Below are 13,336 nucleotides of genomic sequence, written 5' to 3' on the forward strand. Positions count from 1 at the left end.
GACGATATACCCATTATGAATATATATGATGAATATATGCTAAAAGATGTATAAGTGATGTATTAGCAAATAAAATCCACCAGTAAGTTAAAAAATACATTATGGCCAAGAATTTTCATTCCAGTTATACAGTAGTTTTTCCATATTAGAAAATCTCTTAATATAATTAATCACAATAGTTCAGATAAAAAGATACCAAGAAATACTTTTGATAAAATTAAGCAATTTGTCCTAAGAATAGAAGTATGTTTTCTTTTCTTTTCTTTTATTTTCTTTTTGAGATGGAGTCTCGCTCTGTCGCCCAGGCTGGAGTGCAGTGGTGCGATCTTGGCTCACTGCAAGCTCTGCCTCCCAGATTCACGCCATTCTCATGCCCCAGCCTCCAGAGTAGCTGGGACTACAGGCGCCTGCCACCATGCCTGGCTAATTTTTTGTATTTTTAGTAGAGACAGGGTTTCACCATGTTGGTCAGGCTGGTCTCGATCTTCTGGCTTCATGATCTGCCCACCTCAGCCTCCCAAAGTGCTGGGATTACAGGCATGAGCCACCGTGCCCGGCCATAAGTGTGTTTTCTAAGATTTTTTTTTTTTTTTTTTTCTTTTTGAGATGGAGTCTTGCTCTGTCACCCAGGCTGGAGTGCAGTGGCGTGATCTTGGCTCACTGCAACTTCTGCCTCCTGGGTTCAAGTGATTCTCCTGCCTCAGCCTCCCAAGTAGCTGGGATTATAGGCACCCACTGCCACGCTCAGCTGATTTTTGTATTTTTAGTAGAGACAGGGTTTCTCCATGTTGTCCAGGCCGGTCTCGAACTCCTGACCTCAGGTGATCCACCTGTCTCAGCCTCCCAAAGTGCTGGGATTACAAGCATGAGTCACCGTGCCCGGCCAGATTAATTCTTTTATATCAACATTCAGCATCATAAACAGTGTTGTAACACTGGAGGAAGGCCCTTTAAAGATCATGATGCCTGTTCCCACTTGTATTTTGTAATTGTTCTCTAGTTGTAGAAAAAGCATAAAACAAGATACAGAACTAGAGGTATACAACTGGAATGGAGTTGACAAAATGATCATCATATTCATGTCACTTGACTACAGGACTACGTTTCTGAGAATGCATCACTAGGCGATTTCGTCATTATGTGAACACCATGGAGCCCCGGCCCCCAACCTTTTTGGCACCAGGGACCGTTTTCATGGTAGACAATTTTTCCGTAGTAGGTCGGAGTGGTGGGGAAGTTGGGGGATGGTTTTGGGATGAAACTATTCCACCTCAGATCATCAGGCATAGTTAGAGTCTCATAATGAGTGCAACCTAGATCCCTCACATGCACAATTCACAATAGTGTTCTGTGCTCCTATGAGACTCTCATGCCTCTGCTGATCTCACAGGCGGTGGAGCTCAGGAGGTAATGCTGGCTCGCTTGCTGCTCACCTCCTGCTGTACGGCCTGGTTCCTAACAGGACATTGACCAGTACTGGTCCATGGCCTGGGGGCTGGGGCCAGTGTGCTTACACAAACCTAGATGGTATAGTCTACTACACACCTAGGCTATGTGCTATAGCCTATTGCTCCTAGACTACAAACCTGTACGGCATGTTACTGTATTGAAAAGTGTAGGCAGTTGTAACACAATGAAAAGTATTTGCATATTTAAACATAGAAAAAGTACAGTAAAAATACCATATAAGGGATTAAAAAAATGGCACACAAAAACACACATACCATAAATGGAGCTTGCAGGATTAAAGTTTCTCTGGGTGAGTTAGTGAGTAAATGTTGAGTGAATGTGAAGGCCTAGGACATTACACTGCTATAGACTTTATAAGGACTATACACTTAGGCTAACTAGTTTATGAAAAATATTTTTCTTTCAATAAATTACTCTTACTGTAACTTTTCAAAACTTTTAAATTTTTTACCTGTTTGACTCTTGTAATAACTTAGCTTAAAACACAAACACATTATATGCTATACAATTTTTTAAAATATCCTTATTCTGTAAGCTTTTTCCTATTTATTAACTTTTTAAACTTTTTTATTAAAAACTAAGACACAAACACACACATTAGTCTGGGCCTACACAAAGTCAGGATCACCAATATCACCATCTTCATTTTGCCCCACTGGAGGGTCTTCAAGGGCAATAGCACTAACGGCGCGGCCATCTCCTAGGATCACAATGCCTTCATTTGGAATACCTTCCCAAGGACCTGCCTGAGGCTCTTTTATAGTTAACTTAAAAAAATTATATATAAGTAGAAGGAGTACACTTTAAAATAGTGATAAAAAGAATAGGACAGTAAATAAACAAGTAACATAGTTGTTTATTATTATCAAGCATTAGGTACCACACATAATTGTATATGCTAGACTTTAATATGACTGGCAGCGCAGTAGGTTTGTTTACACTGTTATCACCACAAACACATGAGTATTGGGGTTGTGCTATGACATTAGGACAGCTAAAGGTGATAGGAATTTTCCAGCTCCATCATACTCTTACAGGGCCACTGTTATATATGTGATCCTTTGTTGACTGAAATGTCTTTATGTGGTGCGTGACTGCATTTTCAGGAGATATGATTATACATCTAAACATATGAACAATAAAGTAAAAATATTTTAGAATGAATTATGGGCTTTAGAAGGGTGTCTATATGTAAAACAAACAAATTATTTGCTTCCATATCCACCGTAGAATATACTAGAAAACAGAAAAAGTCCTATCAACAATAGCAGCAAAATTGATAAAATACCTAGCAATAAACTTATTGAAAGAAAACTATAAAGTATTGCTGAAAGGCTTAACCTGAGTGAATGGGTGAAAATAATCAATATTTAAAGATATCAATAGTCTATAGATTTAATTCGATTTCAATTAAAATTTCCAAGGGATTATATTTGAAACAAAATGATTCTAAAGTTAGCTCAGTGGTTACATATGAAATAGTAGTTTAGGATTTGGGGGAAAACTGAGTAAGACTAGGTTTGCTCTCCAAGATATAAATGTATTACAACGGTTGAATAATTGAAATAATAATTGAAAGTTTGAATACATGAATGAATGACAAGTCATTTTGAGAAAAACAAAAGATTGCCTATAAATTGTGTTTTAAAAATTTGATTGCCATTTAGAGAAAAAATTATGTTCTCCCAACTCATTTCATAAACAAACTCCCAGATGGATTAATGGTTTAAAAGTAAAACATGCAAGTATTAGAAGCAAATATATATAAATGTTGACATAATCTCTGGTGTGAGGAAAGTATCACAGGTTAAAAGGCATAAACCGTTTACTTTTCTGGTACTTGTTTGGCACATAGTAGTCTTATAAAGAAAAAATGCCAGCCTGGCAAACATGGTGAAACCCCATCTCTACTAAAAATATTAAAATTAGGTATGGTGGTGAGCACACGTAATCCCAGCTATTTGGGAGGCTGAGGCATGAGAATTGCTTGAACCCAGGAGGCAGGGGCTGCAGTGAGCGAAGATTGCACCACTGCACCCCAGCCTGGGCTACAGAGTGAGAGTCCATCAAAAAAAAAAAAAAGAAAAAAAAGAAAAATAATTGTTGGATTTTAAAATAAATTTACAAAAACTGCATACATTTATTAATTAGCAATATTTATGGTTAACAGAAAACTTGATTTTTAATCTATCTTAAATAGATACTGATTTATTTGTCTCAAGCAACATGCAATCTGCAAGTTTGTAGTCAAGCTTGTAGTGTGTCTCAGGAAATGTGGACTCCCTCCATCCTTCCATTTCCTGTTCAGTGTAGAGCTCTGTCCTCCTAGAATTTACCTCATGGTTGCATAATTGTTGCTGTACCTCTAGGCTCATCTTCATTTTCCAGGCAGAAAGAAGGCAAACAGGCAAAATACCTAAGAGGCATGCTAGTTGAGTCTATCCCTTATTTTAAAAAATTCCCAGATTATTTCCCAGCAACTTTCATTAATATCTTATTGGCTGTAATGTGTTACATGAGCACTCCTAGCTGCAAAAGAGTCTGGGAAAATGGTGCCTTCCATCCTCTATCTTAGAGTAAGACTGGGATGACAGATTGAGAATGGCTTTTTGATGTCCAATCCACAATAAACAAAATTGAAAGACAAGTAAATCAGGAAAAATATTTGTGTCATATAAGACAAAGATAATATCCTTAATAAAGAGCTTCTAGAAATTGAAAACAAACCCAGTAAAAAATGATATAAATAGGACATTAATAAGATATAAAATGGACAATTACTTTATGAAATGTTTAGGATCTCTAGTAATCCACTAAATATAAATTAAAACAGATTATCACTTTTTATGTATCAAACTTAGTGACAAACTACTGTAAAAATTCAAAATGGGAGAGTTGGTTAAATAAATTATGGTCCATCTATAAATCAGGAAAACCATGTAGTCATTAAAAATACATTTTCCTAGATTACATGGCATATGTTTACAATATATTTTTAATATTAATATTTTCATGTGGCAAAATATGAAAAATCACTTTACAAAATAACATAAACCATGAGATTCCACTAAAAGTTAATAGAAGAAAGATGAAGAATATTTAGTGGTTATCTTTGGGTGACAGAATCATGGATCAGTCTTTATTTTGTTCTGTTCTACTCATTTTCATTTTTTAAATATTCTATAATAAATTTGAATTACTTTGGTAATAAAGCCAATAAAATTATTATAATAAAAAGTATGGGTTGAAACTGGAACAGAAATAGAGAGCCAGGAAAGCATATGAAATTGAGGCTGATCAGAGTAGGCTTAATTCTATTCCCGTAATCAAGCAGCTATCTAGTTATGGTGTCTGCTTTCCTTTTTGCATATGCTCTATTTTCCTCTTTCTAAAAAGTGGCTTTTTTTTTCTTTTGTATTCTGTGTGTCTTTTCTTACTTCACAACCTTTTTTTTTCTCTATGGCTGTTCCATCTCTTCTACTTTATTGTTGCAGCTCCTTTGTAATTTTGGTTTGCCATGCATGGTCCTTAACTCTACCTCTTGGCCTTATAGTTTCACTTGGCACAGTGAGCTACGTGATTCTTTTCATGTTTCCTCAATTTGAATTCCTGGGAGTGAAAAATATACTTAACCTAGTCAGTCTTTTCACAGCAAGCCATGGTAGAGATAGCCGATAACTTGTGGCTCTGTTGTCCTTAGGTCAGGTATCCACACTGGTTTAATCAACAGAATCTGGGTAGGCAGGAGTGATCATGTGGTGCCAAGCATGGTGACAAGGCATTCCCCTTCAGCAGGGGCTCTGGATAAGGTGCCTGTAGCAGTCACTGCTGTCTCTATGGTTGACATATGTAGTACACTTCACCCCTTGCCTGTTCTCGCACTTACGCTTATTCTCACATCATTGTTCTACAAAAGATGTTCCTGCCTATTAACAGTTACTTATCACACATAAAGCCAAAAACATCCTCATTCTATTTCTATATCTAGAGATTGGGGCATTGCAAAGTCTGCTTGCTAAAACTAAAACAAGAATCTTCATGCAAGAGATTGAAAAAATGAACAAACAGACAAATAAAAATTGACGACATCCAGCATTAGTAAGGATATGCAGAAACTGCCATCCTTGTATGGTGCCAGTACAAGTGTGAGCTGCTAAGACTTTCTGGAAAATAATCTCAAAGTATCTGTTAAAATTACAAAGTTTTTTTGTAATCACCCCACTACTAGACTCTATGCTGTAGAAATAAATGTATCAGTATAAAAAAATATGTTCAAGGATATTTACATAGCATTGTTTATAATAAAAATCTGGAAACAATCTGAATGTTCATCAAAAGGGGAATACATAAATACATCATGATTTATGTAGACTCTTGTGAAGTTATTAAATAGAATGAATTAGAACTATATGTATATATAGAACGGTTTTCACATAATATTATGTTAATGCCAGGTATATACAATTATGATAATTTCTTTTAATAATGTATCTTTTTGAACATAGAAAAATATAAAGGGAGGTGGGTCCAAGATTCACTGCACATAACAGAAATAATTCTATCATAGTCAAGTAGTTAACTGATTATATTTCTTTCTCAAATAGAGTTTTGTTTTTCTTTGAGTTTATAATTGCTTTTTTTGCATTGTCTGTCTTAATCTTATCCTTACAATTTTTTTTAACTTCTCAAACATGATATCAAATATATGGAATTCCTTTTTTATTGTGATTCCTCTCTTCTGGTGTTGTGTTTCCTACTGTCTTATCCAGATGTATTGTTCTCTATGTGCCATGGTTGCTATTCTGGGCTTTACTTCACTTTTGGCTCATACCCAGTGTTTTCTAAATCCCAGGCCTTTCCCTTGTGTTATTCTTTTGTTTTGCTGGAGCACATCCTCAAGTAATTGCCTAGTACAGGGTGTGGGAGATAAACTTTTAGAGTCTGCACATCTGAAAATGTAACACTTACTTAACAGTTTAACTGGGTATTAAATTCAATTTCCCTCAGAATTTTGAAAAGTATTATCTTTTCTATTATTTTGTATCATTTAGTGTTGCTTTTGGAAAATTTGATGCCAGTTTTATTCTTATTTCTTTGTGGGCAACTTGTTTTTTTCCCCTCTCTCTGGAAGCTTCTAGAATCTTCTAATAATCTTTAGAGATCTGCAAAAATGAGTATCTAACATAAAATTTCTTATTTAGGAAAGGAGGGGAGGTGCCCTTTTCCCATTGTAACTTGTCTGATATGATGCATAGCATCCATCTGCTTTGTGATGTTTACCTCATTCCTAATCCTATGAATCAGAGTTAGGGCCAAAGCCACTAAGTTCCCCACAACCCCCATCTATGGGACCCAAGATCTGGGTCACTGGAGTCTATCAATGAAAGCCCAGTGTTTGTCACTTACCTAGCCTGTGGGGCTTCGTTTCCCTTCACCCTGTCACTGTACGATATCCACTTCCACTTACCCCAAGTATCCCCTGAGATCCTATTCTATGTTCCATGAATGCACCTCACTCTCTCCAATTCAGGACTGATTCCAGCTATAGTCAGGCTCTTTCAGTTTCAGGGAGAAAAAAAGAACCACCCAGACTACCGTGGGCAGAGGGAGGTGGGTAGGTCTGAGGATTCTTGTGTGTTAGAACTGAATCTCTGGCCAAAGGACCTCTTGAATGTGTTATTTCCCTATCATAGGACACACAACCTCTCTTTGATGGTGCCTGTGCTGCCTTAGGGCCAGATTGTCTGGATTCGAATCCCAGCCCTACCACGTGCCAGCTATATGACCTTGGGCAAGCTGCTTAATCTCTCTGTGCCTCTGTTTTCTGATGTGGAAAATGGGGATAATAACAGAACTTCAGGTTTTTGTTGTGAGGATTGAGTTAACACATATAACAGATTGAGCACACTGGCTGACACATCGTAAGTGCTCAACAGCAATATCTAACATGCCAGCATGTACACAGCATTTACCATGGGCCAGATGCTGTTAGAGGTGGAGGAACCAGCCCAAGGTAACACTGCTAGGAAAAGGACAGGCTGGGGTTCAGACCTGGGCAGGGTTCAAGAGCCTGGGTTCATGCTCTTGACCACTTCACTCTACAGTTGTTTTGGTTTCTCTACCTCATATTTCCTGCCTTCTATCTAACTGTGACTTGTTTTGATCATTCGTGGTCCTTATCTACTTCATGGCTTCTCTCTTTATGCATGTTTTCTGTCTCTGGCTTCACTATCAAGTGCCTGATTTTTCTTAAAGGGAGAGAGAGTGAGAGAGAGAGACTCAGTTTCTGTTTTGTGTCAGGCCATCCTGTAGCTTATTGGCTGTCATCTGCATTTGTTTGTTGTCCTTGGATCAGGTGCCCACACTTCTATCCAGCTGGAGCCAGAGTGGGGTAGAGAGTTGCTACTTCAACAGTAACTGTGACTGGGGTAAATTCTCTCAGAAGGGGCTCTGAGGGCAAGATGGTGCCATGCTTGATGGGGACCATCTTGTACTACAGTATAGACTCTTGGCATTGCTGTCCTTTCTTCTGAAAATGAGTCTCCTACTTTTGTACCTGGTTTTGAATTGGTAAGTAACGAGATGAAGGAGATGGATTTTGTGCATGGAAGAATGCTGATAATGGTCTTTAAAATTTCAGGATGTGGTTGTGATGGAAACTAAATTTTAGGGCGACACCCATACCAGATGAGATTAGTTATTTGCAGAAGCAACACCATGTTTTAATAGATTGGAGATGCCATGATTGTCCAAACTCTCTCACTAAGTATCAGACTGTATTCTCAGAAAGACAGGTTTGACATTAAATAACAATCATTGAAAGTTCATTTAACTTTTCACTCAGTTACTCATTCAACATCTATGGGTCACCCACCAGGTCTAGCAGAGGGTGGAAGATGACCCCTATGACTTGTGCATGTGAGTCACTAAAAAAGGAGTGAGAATATAAACGCCTCTCTGTTTTTACTCAACCCAGTCAATCCAGGAGATAGAGAAAGAGACAGAGATGGAGGGAGATCTGAATATCAATGTATCAATGTCTGGTAATTATTCTTGACCATCAATATGATGATTCTTAATTAGCTAGCTAGTTATGTGGTTTTGATGCTATAACTCAACGACATTGTGGCCTTAGATCAGTCCCTTATATTTAAAAAGGAATAATAATTCCTGGGGGATTTTAAAAGAATTAGTGATAATAGATGTCTGGCTTGGTGCCTGAGTGCTATTACTTTTAGGCAGCATTTTCCCTGGAGTGGAAAGTGGCAATTCATCCCATTCCTTTTGCTCTTACTTTATGTTCATTAAGCAACTTTCTGACACATAATTTGCTCCTCTGAGGCAATTATTCCAGGAGAGAGTGTTCTGAATGACCAATGTGAATGATTCTGTAAGATGTATCTCCCCTAGTAAATTGATAAATCAATGAACGTATCAGCATTCTGGTTGGCAAATTAGGCTCCTGCTAATTTGGTTACATGAGTAACTTCCACAAGTACAACCTATTCCAAGTGAACAGGTTCAGTCACATTTTAGGATCCCCACATTTGAGGACTCGAGTGGCAGCTAACACTTGCCAGGTACTACCAACCCGCAGGGCCAACCTGAGCACGCAACCTGCCTGGCTCTGGCACTCCTACCTGAAAAGGGACCATTGTGTTGGCAGCGCAGGGTGGGGGGCTGAAATAGAGAGACCCTGGGAGCAGATGCCCAGGTTAGGCCTCTTGCAGTTGACCTGGGTAGAGGTAAAACTGGCCTGAACTCAGGTGGTAGCAAGAGGCATGGAAAGAAGGAAAAGGACAGATGCAAAGAAAGTGGCGCAAATTGGAGATAGTTTAGCAGCATAACTTTATACAGTCTGAGATGATTCAGGTCAACCCTCTCATTTTTTTTTTTTTTTTTAACCTGTGAAGCATGAAACTTATCAGGTGCCTGTGGTCCCATCCACCGCTCAGAGCCCTGGTGGACACACTGCATTGCGGGCCTCCGGAATGGTTCTATTACAGCATTGAGTGTTTTGATCAAACACATTGCACAATAGCTGTCTCAAGTATGCCCAGGCATGGCTTGAGCTATGGATACATATGCTGAGTGTATTAATCAAGTTTAATAGACCCCAGTGTCTGAAACAATGCCTTAAATTCTTTTTTCAGAAACTGCACAGAAGTGCAGCATTGTACAGCAAATAAAAGTGTTGCTACAATGCCTGTAAATCAGAGCTTTAAACTATGTTTCAATTATCCTTCTATTATCCAGCTGGTATTTAAGCATGTTTATTATTCAAATCAGCAGCGAATGTGCTGCTGTTGTGTAAACAACTGTCAATTGCTGAAACAATGATTAGGAGGCACCATCCCTTTCAGGTGTACTTAGCGGTACTTATACCCCAGCCACTTGTATTTAAATATCATGTAAACACAATGCTTGAGTGACTACTTTCACTCCTGTTCCCAATGCCTCATGCCAATTCTATTACATTAAGAGGGAAATCTATTAAATTTTTCATTGATACACATCCGTACACTGTTTTTACCCATTGTATCATTAAGGCTTGGATTAATATAATAGATATGCTGAGAGATACAGTGTGCATTGAAAAAGCCTGTTCAAAATGAAAGCCAATTTCTCTGCATTATTTGGGGGTGTTGGAAGGCTTTTGTGAAAACAATGCAAAGAAAATGATTTTCTGAATAAAAAGCATGACATGGAGAAAAGAAAAATTTGGCCCCCAGAAAGAGCATCTTGAACCTTTATTAGCTCCATTACCAATTCAGCACAGAAAAAAGTGGAGAGCCAGAAAATAGGACATTTGTAAAATGAAGCTGTGTTGCTTTTGAAAGTTCTCTGCCATCACCAGTAAGGGGTTTGTGTGTGTGTGTGTATGTGTGTGTGTTGGGACTGGAGTTTGTGGGTGATGGTTGCTGGGCAGAGCTTGAATTTGCTTCTAGGCTATGCTCCCAATAAGTTTTTCCTTTTTTTCTTAAGCCTCAATTTCCACATATAACCCAGGAAGACAATATTTTAAGTACAGTAGTTTTGTAAATAGTGAGGAATCATTATCTGGTCAAATGATTGACACCACCAGGGTTTTCATGTTAACCTGAGGTGTGTCTTTTGGGGGCTCAATAAATTGTTGTTGATTGGTCTCAGTTGCTAATCTGCAAATGGTATCTACTGTGTTTAGCAGGTGGATGCTGGAGAGAAAAGGGCAATGGCAGGATCTTGACTTGAGATTAGAACTTCTAACTCGGTGAATTCATGGATAGTGGCTTGAGTACATAGTAGAACCTCCCAGGTGGGTTGTAAAAAAGCTGTGCCTCATCCTTGGAGGTGATGTCATGATGTCCAAAATACTGCCTTCTAATTGATTTTGAAATACAACAAATTCCAGTTCTTTAGAATCTATAATATGTAGGGTGACCATGTAATTTATCACACAATTTGGGACATTTTGGTAGTAAGGTGTATTTAATAATTATGCTGGGACATCAGATGTAAACCAGCACTGTCCTGGGCAAGCCAGTACATACGATCACCCTAAAATCACATGGCTAAAGACCAAATCTGGGTATTAAGGCAAGGAAGGAGAATGAAAAACTAGCCCCTTGGGGGTTCTGTCTTTACCTGTCTTTTGAGGTTGGTCATTGCTTTATCTTTAAAGAAAGAGAGTTGATCCTTTTTTTTTTTCTTCTAAGAATTAGAATCCAGAAAGGCAAATAAATTCCACTTTTATAAAATACTATAAGCGGAAATTCATTTGTACATATTAAATTAGTAAATGGTCGTTCAATTTTCAAAATAATTATTCTGTAATGAAAAGGCTTCCCTGACTCCTAGCTGGCAACCTGTTTTTGTATGGGATTTAATTTCTTCAAGGCTTACCTAGAGGGTGTCTGTTGAACAAATGCGAAGTCTTTACACTTCACATAACTTTAATTTCTTAGCAGCGACTTGGGCTCAGTCAACAGAGTCAAATAATGACTCTTGGAATGTACACATGTAGAATTGAACCAAGAAATGCCAATTCTTAGGTATCAAAGGGTAAGCAGTACCTTCATTAATACATTTTATAATGTTCTCCCCTGCAGCAGACACAAACTTTAATGCTAGCATATGAAAATAATTTTCGTGTGTTAGATAACCAGTTTTTATACCAGTATCCTGTGATTCTTGCAGCCATTTTTATCTCTTTTATTATGTCCATAGATGTATCTCTTTTATTGAAGCACATGCTCTGAATTTCTTTTTCATTGAATGAAGATGAATGTCAGTAAGTTTATACATTTATCAAACAGCAAGATATCTGGTCTCTTTCCCATCTGGGCAGACTGATTCTCACAGCTCTGTCTCCAGTATCTTTGATTGCCTGTTTTCTAACAACTTCTTGGGTTCCTACCTACAATAGGGTGCTAATTCATTTACTGGAGGACTAATTGCTGAGGGGATGGTGGAAGAGCATCATTGTGCCTTTTCATGTAATGCACAGCAGCCAAAGTAGGGGCCTGCTTCAATTGCATGCTCTGTTGTCTCCTAAGCCCCAGGCATTACCTGTGCCTGTCCTTAAATAAGTTTTCCTCCATTATGTACTTGTAATTCCTGGTACCAATCACCAGATCCGGAGTACTTCCAGTAAGCCCTTCAGTGTCCCCAAATGCCTGACTTCTTTTATCCAAAAGTTAGATCCACTTTTATCTTTGTCATTTAAGCTCATCTGATGGAGGTTAAGTACTGTGTAGTTTGTTTTTGTTGTTGATAAAACACTGATAGAGTTTCCATGGAGGTATACTCTATACCCCCTAACTTCATATTGTGAAACTCCAGGCAGGGTTTATTGGCCAAATCATAGGCTATAACGGGCTAGTTGTAAAAATAACTCCTTGGTTTTGCAGTTACTGAGCAATATAAATTGTGGCTGCCAATTATTCTGTGCCTGTCTCTTTAATGGGGTTTAGTGGCTCTGTGAGTCTAGTTTGATCCTGCACTCACGGTCTCCAGTTCAAGTCCTGTTTTCTCTAGGAAACCATTTCACTGTTTGACTCTACCCAGATCCTCCCTGAATTCGTAGGAGCCGCAGTTTGTCATGTCCAATTCTTTTACTTAACCGTATTCTACCATTATTGATGCTGTTTTCCAGACTTTCCCTATACTATATAAGCCCTTATTTGTGTGGGGTGGGGAGGCCTTTTTACTTCTGTGACTACTTTGGTGCCTAGCCCAGGGCCGAAGTCATAGGGAATTAATAAACACTAATTGAGCCAATATTGACTGAGTACTTAACTGTGTGCAAAGATGGGTGCTTAGTACTCGGGGAAGGAAACAAATTCCCTTTCACCAGAGGGGTTTCCAAAATAGGAGAAATCCGAAAGAGAAGTGAGAACAGACACCAGATTTTAAAGTCATCTAGCAGGACTTCAAAGGAATAATTTAGAAAATGGAGCTTTGAGATGATATAACTCAAGAAAAATCTTGTATAAGATTAGTAAATCTGTTACGAATTTTAAAATGTTGAGGAATGTCTTTTTTTTTTTTTAGAAATAGGAATGGCTCACTAGCCTGACACAAAGACCAAAAACTGGGGGCACTGTTCTCCTGAAAGACTATGCAAGTGTGTGGAAGCTGTGTGCCTTTGGGAACTGGCTCTCTGAGGGCAGGGGAGATGGTGCCCCCACGGCCCTGCTCTGGCAAGCCGGGGCTGGCCATCCAGCAGCATTGTGGAGCAGCAGCCTGGGAAGGCATTGACATTTTTGCACGTGGTGTTGATGGTGGAGGTGGGGAGAGGTGTCCTGTGAAGCCAACTTGTAAGTATCACTTTGGAGTTCCCTGAAGCAAGTGGGGAGATGCTAATGTAGGGATGGGATTCCTTCAC

General features: G+C 38.5%; 1 protein-coding gene across 1 annotated transcript in view, besides 1 other annotated feature; it reads left to right on the forward strand.

Moving 5' to 3' along the window:
- RPS6KC1 (ribosomal protein S6 kinase C1) overlaps positions 1-13,336 on the forward strand; it is an 811,495-nt gene that overhangs the window by 446,954 nt on the left and 351,205 nt on the right. The gene's annotated exons all lie outside the window — the stretch shown is intronic.
- Positions 9,369-10,367: an enhancer, noted in NCBI's record as "OCT4-NANOG hESC enhancer chr1:213680906-213681904 (GRCh37/hg19 assembly coordinates)". NCBI's record gives its function as "activates a minimal SCP1, AML or CMV promoter by ChIP-STARR-seq in primed H9 embryonic stem cells {active_cell/tissue: H9 hESC(primed)}" and the evidence as "EXISTENCE:reporter gene assay evidence [ECO:0000049][PMID:30033119]".

The sequence above is a fragment of the Homo sapiens genome, chromosome 1 (genome assembly GCF_000001405.40).
Source record: "Homo sapiens chromosome 1, GRCh38.p14 Primary Assembly".
Taxonomy (NCBI): domain Eukaryota; kingdom Metazoa; phylum Chordata; class Mammalia; order Primates; family Hominidae; genus Homo; species Homo sapiens.